General features: G+C 44.7%; 1 protein-coding gene across 13 annotated transcripts in view, besides 1 other annotated feature; it reads right to left on the bottom strand.

Annotated features, from left to right (window-relative positions):
• Positions 1,888-12,808, bottom strand: part of SYNJ2 (synaptojanin 2) — a 117,881-nt gene continuing 106,960 nt past the window's right edge. For 10 of the 13 annotated variants that reach the window (XM_047419472.1, NM_003898.4, XM_011536224.2 and 7 more), the window contains 4 exons: positions 12,292-12,404; positions 11,117-11,225; positions 7,960-8,138; positions 1,888-5,446 (listed from right to left, as the gene is read on the bottom strand). In XM_047419472.1, coding sequence (XP_047275428.1) covers positions 4,700-5,446; positions 7,960-8,138; positions 11,117-11,225; positions 12,292-12,404 — 1,148 coding nt within the window. In that variant the 3' untranslated portion in view covers positions 1,888-4,699. Of the gene's footprint in view, positions 5,447-7,026; positions 7,177-7,959; positions 8,139-11,116; positions 11,226-12,291; positions 12,405-12,808 lie in introns of those variants that run through there. The other 3 variants (NM_001410947.1, XM_047419475.1, XM_011536227.3) reach the window with 3 other exon arrangements.
• Positions 4,681-5,181: an enhancer, noted in NCBI's record as "H3K4me1 hESC enhancer chr6:158516915-158517415 (GRCh37/hg19 assembly coordinates)". NCBI's record gives its function as "activates a minimal SCP1, AML or CMV promoter by ChIP-STARR-seq in primed H9 embryonic stem cells {active_cell/tissue: H9 hESC(primed)}" and the evidence as "EXISTENCE:reporter gene assay evidence [ECO:0000049][PMID:30033119]".

Raw genomic sequence — 12,808 nt, 5'->3', positions numbered from 1 at the left:
GGATTTTTACGGTAAACTCCTCTGCATGATAATGCAATGGTGGATCCATGTCATTATACACTTGTCCAAGCCCATAGAATGTGCAACACCAAAAGTGAACCCTAAACTATGGACTTGGGAGGATGATGTACCAATGTAGTCAATTGATTGAAACAAATGTACCAGTCTGGTGGGGGGAAGTCAATAGTGGAGGAGGCTGTGCACGTGTTGGGGTAGGGAGGATATGGAAACTCTACTTTTTGGGCAATTTTGCCGTGAACATAAAACAGCTCTGAAAATATAATTAATTAAAAAAATAGTTCAAAATTCCTTTTTGAGACGGAGTCTCACTCTGTCGCCCAGGATGGAGTGCAGTCGCGCGATCTCAGCTCACTGCAAGCTCCGCCTCCTGGGTTCACGCCATTCTCCTGCCTCAGCCTCCCGAGTAGCTGGGACTACAGGCGCCCACCACCATGCCCGGCTAATTTTTTGTATTTTTAGTAGAGACGGGGTTTCACCGTGTTAGCTAGGATGGTCTCGATCTCCTGACCTCGTGATCCGCCTGCCTCGGCCTCCCAAAGTGCTGGGATTACAGGCATGAGCCACCGTGCCTGGCCCAAAATTCTTAATACTCTTCTCCCAAATCTTCCCTGTCTGTTCACAATTACTCTCTCATTTATACTCATTTATTTATTTATTTGAGACAGAGTCACACTCTGGCTGGAGTGCAGTGGTGCAATCTCGGCTCGCTGCAACCTCTGCCTCCTGGGCTTAAAGGGATTCTCCTGCCTCAGCCTCCTGAGGATTACAGGTGTGTGCCACCTCTCCCAGCTAATTTTCATATTTTTAGTAGAGACAGGGTTTCACCATGTTGGCCAGGCTGGTCTCAAACACCCGGCCTCAGGTGATCCACCCGCCTTGGCCTCCCAAAATGTTGAGATTACAGGCGTGAGCCACCGTGCCTGGCCTCATTTGTACTCTTATTACCTCATTGAGATAAATGCAAACAATTTGCCTTGGATGAGAGTGCGTTTTAAACCTATCTCCCCCAGTCCCTTGAAAAGGAAGTTTCTGCAACCGGCTGTCAGATTTAGTAAATTCAATATGCCTCCTTACTGGTCAGGAAGGACTAGCCATATTTATTAGAGATTTATTCTTATTCCTGAAAATCATCAGAGAACATTTATGATCTATATTGTATTAATTAGCTTAGAGCAAACCTAGACAGAACTTGAAGTGTTTACTTCCGTCTCCTGCTTCTATGCTGTAATGGACTCAAGCTAGCAGTTCAGTTTTTATAAGTTTGCTATAAAATCGTACAGAAAATGAATTCTAGCATCTCTAAGTAGCATAAAGTTATTATATGTTATGGCAGTATTCCCTGCTAGCAGCATTCAAGTCATAAATTCTTAACCAGATGATTACTTTTCTGGTTTTTGAACTTAATTTAATAGTTAAAAAAACGAACCGGTTGGGCGCAGTGGCTCACACCTGTAATCTCAGCACTTTGAGAGGCCTAGGCAGGCGGATCACAAGGTCAGGAGTTTGAGACCAGCTTGGCCAATATGGTGAAACCCCGTCTCTACTAAAAATACAAAAAAATTAGCCAGGCATGGTGGGACATGCCTGTAAGCCCAGCTATTCAGGAGACTGAGGCAGGAGAATTGCTTGAACCCGGGTTGCTCACTGCAGGTTGCAGTGAGCAAGATCGCACCACTGCACTCCACCCTGGGCGACAGAGTGAGACTGTCTCCAAAAAAAACAAAAACAAAAACAAAAAAAACAAAAAACCAAAACCCGAAACTCAAGAGGAATTACTAAATAACCAGTAATTACATTTGATCCAGAACAGAAGGTAGCCAAAGATATTCTAAGGTTCTCTTCATATCTGAAAAGAAATAAACCCAATTTAAAAAAAGACAAAAACATTTAATAGGTATCATGTACAATTTCAGTACAAATTTTCACTTCAAAAATATTACAGGATTTTATTAATCACTAGTCCCCCAATAATCTTTGCAGCTTTCCTTCCCAATGAAATGACTTCATTATAAAGTGAACGCTTTGATACATTACTTTGTTTATACTTACACACACATCAGGGAGAATTTTATTATGTGCCTTGAACTTCAACAACGTTAAACCGTTACAGGAATTGCTTAAGCTGATGTCCTAATTCAATCATTAACCAAAACATATTTTAAGAATAGGCAAGAAGTCTGAGAAGATGGTGATGTAAAAGGGACTAGGCTTGGGGTCAGAGAGACAATGGTGAGTTGTGAAGTACCTAAACCAGTCTGCGTGAACTGCACCATGTTAGAGAACAGCAGGAACAAAATAGGCTACAAGGTCACAATAAGAAGCCCTGGATGGTAGCATCAAAGACGAAACATTTAAAAAACCACAGAATGAAATCCCCCAAGATGGCAGCTGCTCATTGTCAAGATTATTTAATCAACCCTGCTGCTGACCTGGGAATCCTACCAACTAGTAAGCATTGATTTTAAAAATAAATAAGGCAATTCCAATTGTCCTTTTTTTTTTTTTTAAGAGAATTCTGGTATGAGAACCATACCTACTACCAACTCCAAATCCAATCTATGTTGTTCACTAAATTTGACAGCCACGATCAAATAATATTTAACTCTTAAACTCCTCGTAACTTTTTTGTGATTCACCTCCCCCAGTCAACACAATTCTGTGTGTTTTTACTTACGGTCAGACTCTGAAGAGCTACTTAGGAGATGAGCACATATTTTAACAAAAATTTTATTCTCTGTCCCATTTATTTGGTATCTGGAACGAAGAGAAAACCTAAAAATGAGATCTATTTCCAGCACTGCAAGCAACTTTGGAGGAGCTTACTTTTCCCCTGCTTCTTTGACTGGTTGTTACATTTATCTGTTTTCAAATTTATCTCCTTTTTGGTGAGAAAAGAGGTTATAGGGAAAAGAGCATTTGAATGAATTCTTCAATTTCATTTCATTTATGACTCTGGCTGTTAATAGCGATGTGCATCTTGGCAAATCAGCTTCTCCAAGGAACCCATCTTGCTCTCTCCCCCAAACTCTGTTAAGGACCATTCTGTTTATTTCTTGTGTTTGTTACAGAGGTAAAAATCATATAAAGCACGTAAATGCCACCAACGGCATCCTGATCACCTAAACACCGCCTTTTATGACTGGTCAACTATGCATCTTATCTGTCTAGCTCTGTGGGTCACGGATTCCTTTTTTTTTTTATCCTTTTCCAGGTATTAGTTTTCAGATGAAAAGAGATACGTGTTGTAACTTTTGTTTTGATGGCCATATTTAAGTAATCTGCAATATATCTTGACAGTGACAATGAAAACTAATTATGAAATTCCAGATGTCTAATTGGTAACAAGACAGTGGCATAGCCCAGGCAAGATGATCCTTACTATCCTAGCAGTCAGCTTTTAGGACAGACATCCCCCAGTCACGTAAGGGATGACACTTGATCACTGCTGTGCGAGCCTCTGTACGAGGCTCCCAGATACAACAGGCGGTACAGTAAGATTTCACTACTGAACTTCTTATTAAATAGCGAAAACACGGTATCTGCTCCAAATGGATTCCAGACCTTGTAACATTACTTTAAAAATGTAAAGCACTATGGTAATGTCTTTTTCAGTTATTGAATAGGTGAGAAGTGCTGTTGGAAACGTGGGAAAAATGTATAGGCAAAAAATATAGACAAACATATAGACAAGCAAACCCAGAAACACTGGCCTGGTGATTCTTATATGCAGGGACACATAGCACTTTCCATCCCGAAGCTCCAGCCGGACAGACGAGGCTGAAACACTCTCCATATTCTAACAATGAGAATCAATATCGCGTATCAGCAAGAGTTTTCGCACTGTGTGCTTTTATGTGGTATGCATGGAATATAAGCGGAACAAAGGATCCGTGAGGTTTCATTTAATAAGGACTAGATGGTGGATAAAAATTGGTTTCAGTAGCACACCATGGCTCAGGATTATAGTAATTGATAGGGCATGCAATGTCTAAGACATGGCACAGGAGCCTTCAGCTAGTTTAAGCTAAGGTTAAGCTAACGGTGTATGCCACCGGCTCCCTCGGGATTCACGCATCATCAAGGTTAACGCACATGTACACACTTAAACATGAAGGCTCATGGGAATGTACAGTCTAGTCATTAGGTTGACCTATTTGGCTGCTTCCGACTCTGATTTTTTGTAACCTTGTTTAAGTGGGCCAGGACAGCTACTAATGGTCACAACGACCTCTTTCTCTAATCCTTACTTTATACATCAACCTTCAGGTGGCTCCCCAAAATGTTATACCAAATCTGTAAAATGCAAATAAAACAAAAGACAAATCTCCATCACGTACAACATGAACTGAACAGCCATTTAAAAATTCAATGGGTGAGAACTTCTTGGACCTCATTGGCTAGATTCCTTTCTTAAAATCCATACACCGAATTTAACAGGAAGGTTCCCATTCCTTGAAGAGCAAACTTCAGATGTACAAGCCTTGAGTGAAATATATTTTGGTGGCTGAGTAACCATCTTACTGAATAAGAGACACGATTTTTGTAAACTACACGAGAGTGACAGATGCACAAACGTTTTGGCCAGTGTGCCTTTAAATAGATGTCTCTTCTGGTGGAGGGATGTCTAGAGGGAGGAAGGTATGCATTCTATAGGACTGCAGCCTTCAAAGCTGCTCAGTCATGTTTTTGCCAGTGGGTCAAACACCTGCAGTGCTGTCCTCTTTTCTTGGTCACTGATTGTCACCCAGTGACCTAAGGTTTTGTGTTCATGATCTGGTGGCAGCTCTGCCTTGGCAGCTGAAGCGCCAGCTGACACTGGGTCTATGGGATCTCTTTTGGGGCTCCTGGTTCCTGAGTCCAAAGGGTCTGAGCTCTTAGAAAGCCAAGTGTTATTCAACAGTTTAGGGTGGTGAAGAAGGTTCCAGAAGGGGTCCTGATAATCACCAAGAAGTGGGGCTGCCTCTGGCTTCATCGCTTTGGTGCCATCGCTGTCGGGGCTTGTAGCAGATGAAGTGCTGAGAAAGTCCCCTTGTGGGAAGACGGTGCCCGCGGCAGGTGGGTGCCCAGAGGGGCTGTCACTGCTATTGTAAGTGAGGCCCTGGAGAAGCTGGCTGTTGCTCTGCAGGACCTGCAGGTGGAAGGCTGCGGGGGCTGACTTCTTCCTCCTCGGGGGTACCTTGGGCACAAGAGGCGGCGCCTCCAGAGGTGGTGGCACAGAGGCTCCTGCCCCAGGAGGGGCTTCGTCTGATGCTGGCTTCCTGTGGCTTGGCCTCTCTGCAGCTTTCCCAGGCTGAAATGTTCTTGGTTTGGGAACAGGAGGGACTCGAGGGGCTGTCACGACAGGAGGGGCCTCAACGCTTGTCTCCGGGGGCCCGATTGTAAAATGGACAGTCTGTTGCTCAAACTGTTCTTCCGGTGACAGGGGCTGAGAAAAGGTGGGACAAAGAGTGTAAATAAGAAGCCAATAACTAGGCAGCTGAGGATCAGAGAACAGAGTGGCCAGCAGAGAACAGAGATGAGACCAAGCTGACATTCTAGCAAATTCGAGATTTGAGAATGTGTGGGGTGCCAGAAATGTGACCAGGTAAGAAAAAGAAAAAGCACAGGAGAAACACACATTTATCAGGTCACACCAGCAGGTCCAATGAAAACGAGTGGAAAATTTAAAACCAGGGCCACAGTAAATAATCAGACAAACTTTTCTTTGTCCTTTAGGAAATGGGGTGATGCTCTTCCTTTATTGAAAGCAAACCTCTCTGAAAACACTCTTTGAAGTTGCAACCTGGGCTGATTCATGGTCTGTATCATGCTAGGGTGAAGTAACTTGTGTTACAACATAAGCTAACTGAAGGACTAATGGATATACTTTCTCCTTGAATTTTTTTTTTTTTTTTGAGAAGGAGTCTCGCCCTGTCCCCCAGGCTGGAGTGCAATGGCGCAATCTCAGCTCACTGTAACCTCCGCCTCCCAGGTTCAAGCGATTCTCCTGCTTCAGCCTCCCGAGTAGCTGGGATTGCAGGCGCCTGCCACCATGCCTGGCTAATTTTTGTATTTTGTAGTAGAGACGGGGTTTCACCATGTTGGTCAGGCTGGTCTTGAACTCCTGACCTCAGGTGATCCACCCGCCTCAGCCTCCCAAAGTGCTGGGATTACACGCGTGAGCCACCGCGCCCAGCTCCTTGAATCTTTTATACTTAAATATTGGTAAAGAATGGAAACCTTGACACTGCCTTGGTTCTGGTTCAAATCTATCACAAAGAAAACAACTGCACAGGCAAAATGAAGCTTTTGTTCAGAAAAGGTGATCAGTAGACTAGTTAAACATTGGCGTTTCAGTGTTTCTTTGGTTCTTTAGAAAACAAACTAAGAAAAAAGAAAGTCTCTTTTCCAACAGCCTTTTAACTTTAACTCCTGTGCAGCAGGTTGGGAAAATGAATCTATTTCTGCTCCTGGCTTTTACAAGAAAAGACAAAGCAGGTGGTCCCCGACTTACAATGGTTCCACTGAGGATTTTCCACTTCACCCTAGTGCACAAGCGCTAATGTTCCGTAGAAAGCATACTTTGAATTTTGAAGTTTGATCTTTTATTTTTATTATTATAAAATAGGCTGTGTTGGATGGGTGTTTTTTTTTTTTTTTTTTTTTTTTGCCCAGCCGTAGGCTAATGTATGTGTTCTGAGTGTGTTCAAGGTCAGCGAGACCATGACGTTTGCTAGGTTAGGTGTATGAGATGCAGTTTTGACACGCTATTTTTCAACTTACGATGGGTTTATTGGGATGTAACCCCATTTTAAGTCGAGGAGCATCTGAACAGGGAAGAGGCGGAGGAAAAAGGTCCACTTTGTAAGGAAGCATGGACAAGGGACAGATGGCAATGAGCCAATGTGGGACAGAAGAGCAACCCAGGAAATACAAAGCAAGCGCTGTCAAGAGTGAAGCCGAAGCCCCCCTCACACTCTCTAGGGGGGAAGCAGCATCGTGCTGTGATGACCAGGAAGGGATTACCGAGGGTCCGTTACTAGAACACTGAGATCAAACGGAAGATCCAGATGTGTCTACAGATGCCAGTCTTTGGGCTGCTACTGTCCTTACAAACTCATGTCTTTGAAGCAGTAAGCAAGGCTGAGAAGCTTGAGAGCGAGAGCAAAAAACAATCTGCAAGAAAAGTGGCAAGAAAAGCTGTGGAACCTCTCGTAGGCTGAGGCCGCACGAGAGCATGTGAACATGGCGAATCTGGGAATCGGTTACTGTTTTCCTAATGCCTTGAAACCATGTGCACACAACACAGACCACACGCAAATGGGCGGTACCAGAACATGTGGGGAAAAGCATCCCACTATGGTTCCCTTTGGGGACTCAAAACACTTAGGAAGCATAATACCTCCAAGCTGTTCTTGTCACACTGACAATGTGCCAGACAGTGGACTCCTCGTTCTTCTCAGCCAGAGCCAAGACACAGTAGGATATGAGGGAAGAAGCAGTTGTCAAAACTTTCCCCAAAGACACACCTGTGTCTGGGACTCATGAACGTGAGGATGTCCATAGGGAACTAGATTTTTATCTGTGAGACGCAAATCTGTTTTTTTTTTTTTGTTTTTTTTTTTTTTGAGGTGGAGTCTCACTCTGCTGCTCAGGCTGGAATGCAGTGGCACGATTTCGGCTCACTGCAACCTCTGCCTCCTGGGTTCAAGTGATTCTCCTGCCTCAGCCTCCTGAGTAGCTGGGATTACAGGCGTGCGCCACCACGCCCGGCTAATTTTTCTATTTTTAGTAGAGACGGGGTTTCACACCATGTTGGTCAGGCTGGTCTTGAACTCCTGACCTCGTAATCCGCTTGCCTCGGCTTCCCAATGTGCTGGGATTACAGGCCACAATTCTTATCTATCGAGACATGTGAGCAACTTAGGAGTAAGAGGTTTTATGTTACCAGGCTTTTACCTTTCCTGTCCTTCTCAAGGTTGGCTTCTTGATGGCAGGAACTCTGGGTGGGGGCCGACGGGGAAGGAGTGGGGGCGCCTGTGGGGTCTCTGGTTTGGCTGCCCCCGGTGTGGGCTCTGGTTCAGAGGATGCTTCAAGGTCCCTTGGGGCCACGGCACTTAGGGCTTCTTCGGAGGCACCTGAAACATAAAACCACATGGCTGAAGTGTAAAGGACAAGGCAATTCACTGCATGATTTCGTCCTTAGACAGTCTACATCCTAAGTGTCATTTACTAATTCAGTGTATTTCAGGAGTAATCAGCTAGATTCAGTCCCAGCTTTTTTTCTTTTTTCTTTTTTAAGATGGGCTCTCGCTCTGCCACCCAGGCCGGAGTGCAGCGGCATGATCACGGCTCACTGCAGTCTCAACCTCCCAGGCTCGAGCAATTCTCCCATTTCAGCCTCCTGAGTAGCTGGGATTACGGGTGAGCACTGCCACGCCCAGCCAATTTTTAAAATTTTTAGTAGAGATGAGGTCTCACTATGTTGCTGGAACTCCTGGGCTCATGCAGTCTTCTTACCTCAGCCTCCCAAGTAGCTGGGACTACTGGTGTGAACCACCACGCCCAGCTAATTTTAAAATTTTTGTAGAGAGAGGGTCTCATTGTGTTGCCCAGACTTGTCTCGAACTCCTGGATTCAAGCAGTCCTCCCACCCCAGCCTCTCAAAGTGCTGGGATTACAGGCGTGAGCCACCGCACCCAGCAGTCCCAGGTTTTCATGCTCACCTTCCTAGCAGGGGTGGTGATCTGGGGTCTGTGGATAGTTTGGATGGGGACCAGTGAGACCCTGAGATCATATGCAAAGTCTCATGTGTACTTACATTTCTCAGGGTAGATGATCCAAAGACATCAAAATCTCAATGGGGCCATGACCAAGAAAGTGTTAAGCCGGGACTGTAGGTAGATTTCACACCTCTACTAACATCTACATCTCTAGAGTTTTTTTTTTTTTAACAGCTTTATTGTGACATAATTCACATACCGTGAAATTCACCCTTTCTAAGTGTACCATTCATTGGTTTTTAGTGTATCCACAAAGTTGTGCAACCATCATACGATCTAACTCCAGAACATTTTCATCACACAAAAAAGAAGCCCCACAGCAGCCACTCCCCACCCAGGCCTCCTTCCAGTCCCTGGAAAGCAAGAAGAACTTTCTGACCCCATGAATTTGCCTGCTGTGGCCATTTCATAAAAAGGGGATGGTACACTATGTGGCCTTTTTTTCTTTCTTTCACATAGTATAATGTCTTCAAGGTCCACCCATGAAGTAGTATGTATCAGCACTTCATTCTTTTTTTTTTTTTTTTTTATGAGACAGAGTCTAGCTCTGTCACCCAGGCTGGAGTGCAGTGGCGTTATCTTGGCTCACTGCAACCTCTGCCTCCCCAGTTCAAATGATTCTTCTGCCTCAGCCTCCCGAGTAACTGGGACTAACAGGCACGTGCCACCACGCCCGGCTAATTTTTTTGTATTTTTAGTAGAGATGGAGTTTCACTGTGTTAGCCAGGATGGTCTCGATCTCCTAACCTCGTGATCCGCCTGCCTCGGCCTCCCAAAGCGCTGGGATTACAGGCGTGAGCCACTGCACCCAGCACCCAGCCCCATTCTTTTTTTTTTTAATGGCTGAACAATATTCCATTGTATTGATGGACCACATTTTGTTTATCCATTTATCAGCTGATGGACACTTGGGTTGTTATATCCATAGTTTTAGTTATTTTTCTTTCTTTCTTTTTTCTTTTTTTGAGACGGAGTCTTGCTCTGTCACCCAGGCTGGAGTGCAGTGGTGCAATCTTGGCTCACTGCGAGCTCCACCTCCCGGGCTCAGCCATTCTCCTGCCTCAGCCTCCTGAGTAGCTGGGACTACAGTCACCCACCATCACGCCCGGCTAATTTTTTGAATTTTTAGTAGAGACGGGGTTTCACCGTGTTAGCCAGGATGGTCTCGATTTCCTGTCCTCGTGATCCACCCGCCTCGGCCTCCCAAAGTGCTGGGATTACAGGCGTGAGCCACCGCGCCCGGCCTAGTTTTAGTTATTTTTCTAAAATAAAAAAAAAGAAAGCATTTGTAGCAGTATCATTCTACAACAGTAGTTCTCGACCTTTTAACTCATGCCCCCTTAAATATTATTTGAGAATTCCAAAGAAGTTAAACATGCTGACTAAAAGCAAATTAAGCAATGGTGATTGCTTACACCTTTTTAAAGGGCACACTCGGCCAGGTGTGGTGGCTCACACCTGTAATCCCAGCACTTTAGGAGGCCAAGGTGGATGAATCACCTGAGGTTGGGAGTTCAAGACCAGCCTGGCCAACAAGGTGAAATCACATTTCTACTGAAAATACAAAAATTGGCTCATCATGGGGCTGCGCGCCTGTAGTCCCAGCTACTCAGGTGGCTGAGGCAGGATATTTGCTCGAACCTGGGAGGCGGAGGTTGCAGTGACCTGGGATTGAGCCACTGCACTCCAGTCCAGCTGACAGAGTGAAACTCAGTCTCAAAAAAAAAAAAAAAAAAAACAAAAAAAAAAACGAAGAAAAGGGCACACTCTCCTCTCTAGGAGATTCTGGAACAAAGCCAAGGCCAAAACTAAAAGTGTAAATTACCAGTGATTATGAATGAAGTGGGGGAGAGCCCAAGGTAACTAACATGGTTTAAGTAACAGCAACAAAAAATAATGTGGTGGGAAAGAGGTCCCTGCCTGACACTAAAAACTTTATTTCCACTTGCCAGTGATTTAAAAGGTAGATTTTGTGCCTGAAATTAGGACAAACACTATAACTGTCTCTGTTTTATAAAGCTGGCAGAATGACTTCATGCCGGCAGCATTCACCTTTTTTAAAAACTCATTTTGGTTTTTTTCGGTCTCTCCTTTAGACGCCGCTTAATAGCCCTGGGATGATTTTTATATACACACAGAATTTTGAAAATACAATTTTAAATGGACAATCAATCTTAGTATAGATTTATATAAAATGTTGCTAAAGGATGTTTTCATTTAATATTGCCTCCAGAAGAATAAAAAGAGTTATTTTCGTTTCTAGACCACTTTTAGCAGGGAGATAAAAAGAAAAGGAGAATTGGTTTTTCCCCTGCCCCCAGGAAAGCACCTACCTCCTCTGGCTTCCAGGAGACACCGGATTGCTGCTTCTGCCTCCTGGGCATTGGTGGTTTTGATCTGCTTGACATTATAAGGTTTACTTATTCCAGTCCGAGCCTTGGGCTTGAGGACAGAATGAGGAAGAGCAGAGTATCAGCAGAGGCAGGAGGACAGCCTCGTGGGACGTATCTGCTACCCGTGGGTCTGTGCAGGGCTCCACCAGACGATGCTGACCATACAAACTCCAGCCTCCACCACACCCTGCAATCCTCTCTTTCCTGGAGCACTCTCTTTCCAAGAGTGCCATACTACTTAGACCTGATGACCCTGGTCTTCAAAGCCGGGTGATTACAGATTTTTGCATATGGACAGACCATCTTCTATCTTTTTTTCAATAACCAGGTGAAAGCCAGAAAGCAAAATAAGAGGCCACTCTTTCCATGGTCCCACTGAGTTGTTAAAATACCTTCCTTAAAAGTGCTTTTTCTACTTCTTCATCCAGCATGTGGGTTGCCTTTATGACCTATTTTCACTACTGTAAAACACTGGCCTCCAGTCACCCCTCCACCTGCTGGGGCCGCACAAGCACTTAACCAGGCCCAGCACCCCAGAGGCATCCCGGTCATAGCAGTTTCCCCCTAGCACCCAGCTTCCCCTCTCTCCCCTCTACTTCCCTGCCTTCACCTGCTCTCTTCCCCAGCAGCTCATGGTACCCTCTGGAACCAGGCACCTCCACAATCCTCTATGGCTGTTAGTCTTCCTAGTGTGTTCCCCAACTTCATTATTTACATCTCTTTTTAGCCTCTTCTCTCAACCAACTTCACTCCAGAATGATCATCATTTTCCCAGGATAACGACCTGAATTTCTCCCATTTTCCCTTCTACCAAGCAATGCTCTGCCCATACACCAAGGTCAGAGGCAAGAATGGGAAGAGAGAGAAATGGATGAGTATGGAAACCAGGGATATTTGGGATTTTTCATCAAAAGTGATTTTTTCTAGAACACTCCATACAACCATTTAAAAGCCCTATGGAGAACCTGCGAGGAAGGGTTATGGGGTTTGGAGATGAGATGGTGAGCAGGTAGAGGGTTAAAGACACATAAATCTATATATTCACTGAGAAGAGAGATCCCACACTATCCCGGGGGCAAAACCCTTGGGATTGAAATGTATGCAGAAGAACTCACAGGTTGCTGAGGTGCTCCTGGTAGAAGTCTTGCCGTCTGCAAAATTGAATACTGTCCATGGGTGCCGGAGGAGATGGACGCATCTGAAGCCGACTTTTTCACCATTAAACCGGCTGTAAAAACCAACGAGGGCAGAGTCTCAATCTCAGTGAAGGCACAACTTCCCAGCCAGCTGCCAGGAGCCCGACTAGACGAGGCGGATGTCCCAGCAGACCACAGACACGGTGAGGTCCGAATACTCACTCGGCACTTAGGGCACCCACAGAGCCAGGCCTTCCTTGACTCTCTATGGAGTTTCTCACTTGATTCTACCAGTGTGTGCCTATTGATGTAGATGATCTGGAGAAGCATTACTAGAATGCAAACTTTAACATCTTGGGGGATTCAGATCTGATATAAAAACCAATTGATTTTGAAATGGTTCCAAATACTATTGCTAGGACCAGATTTTTAAAATATTTTGTGGGGAAAAAATATTTCAAAAACCCCAGCCTGGGCAACATGGTGAAACTGTCTC

This window comes from Homo sapiens, chromosome 6 (genome assembly GCF_000001405.40).
Source record: "Homo sapiens chromosome 6, GRCh38.p14 Primary Assembly".
Lineage (NCBI taxonomy): Eukaryota > Metazoa > Chordata > Mammalia > Primates > Hominidae > Homo > Homo sapiens.
The sequence above is the reverse complement of the archived record's forward strand: the minus strand, read 5'-3'. Positions and strand labels throughout refer to the sequence as shown.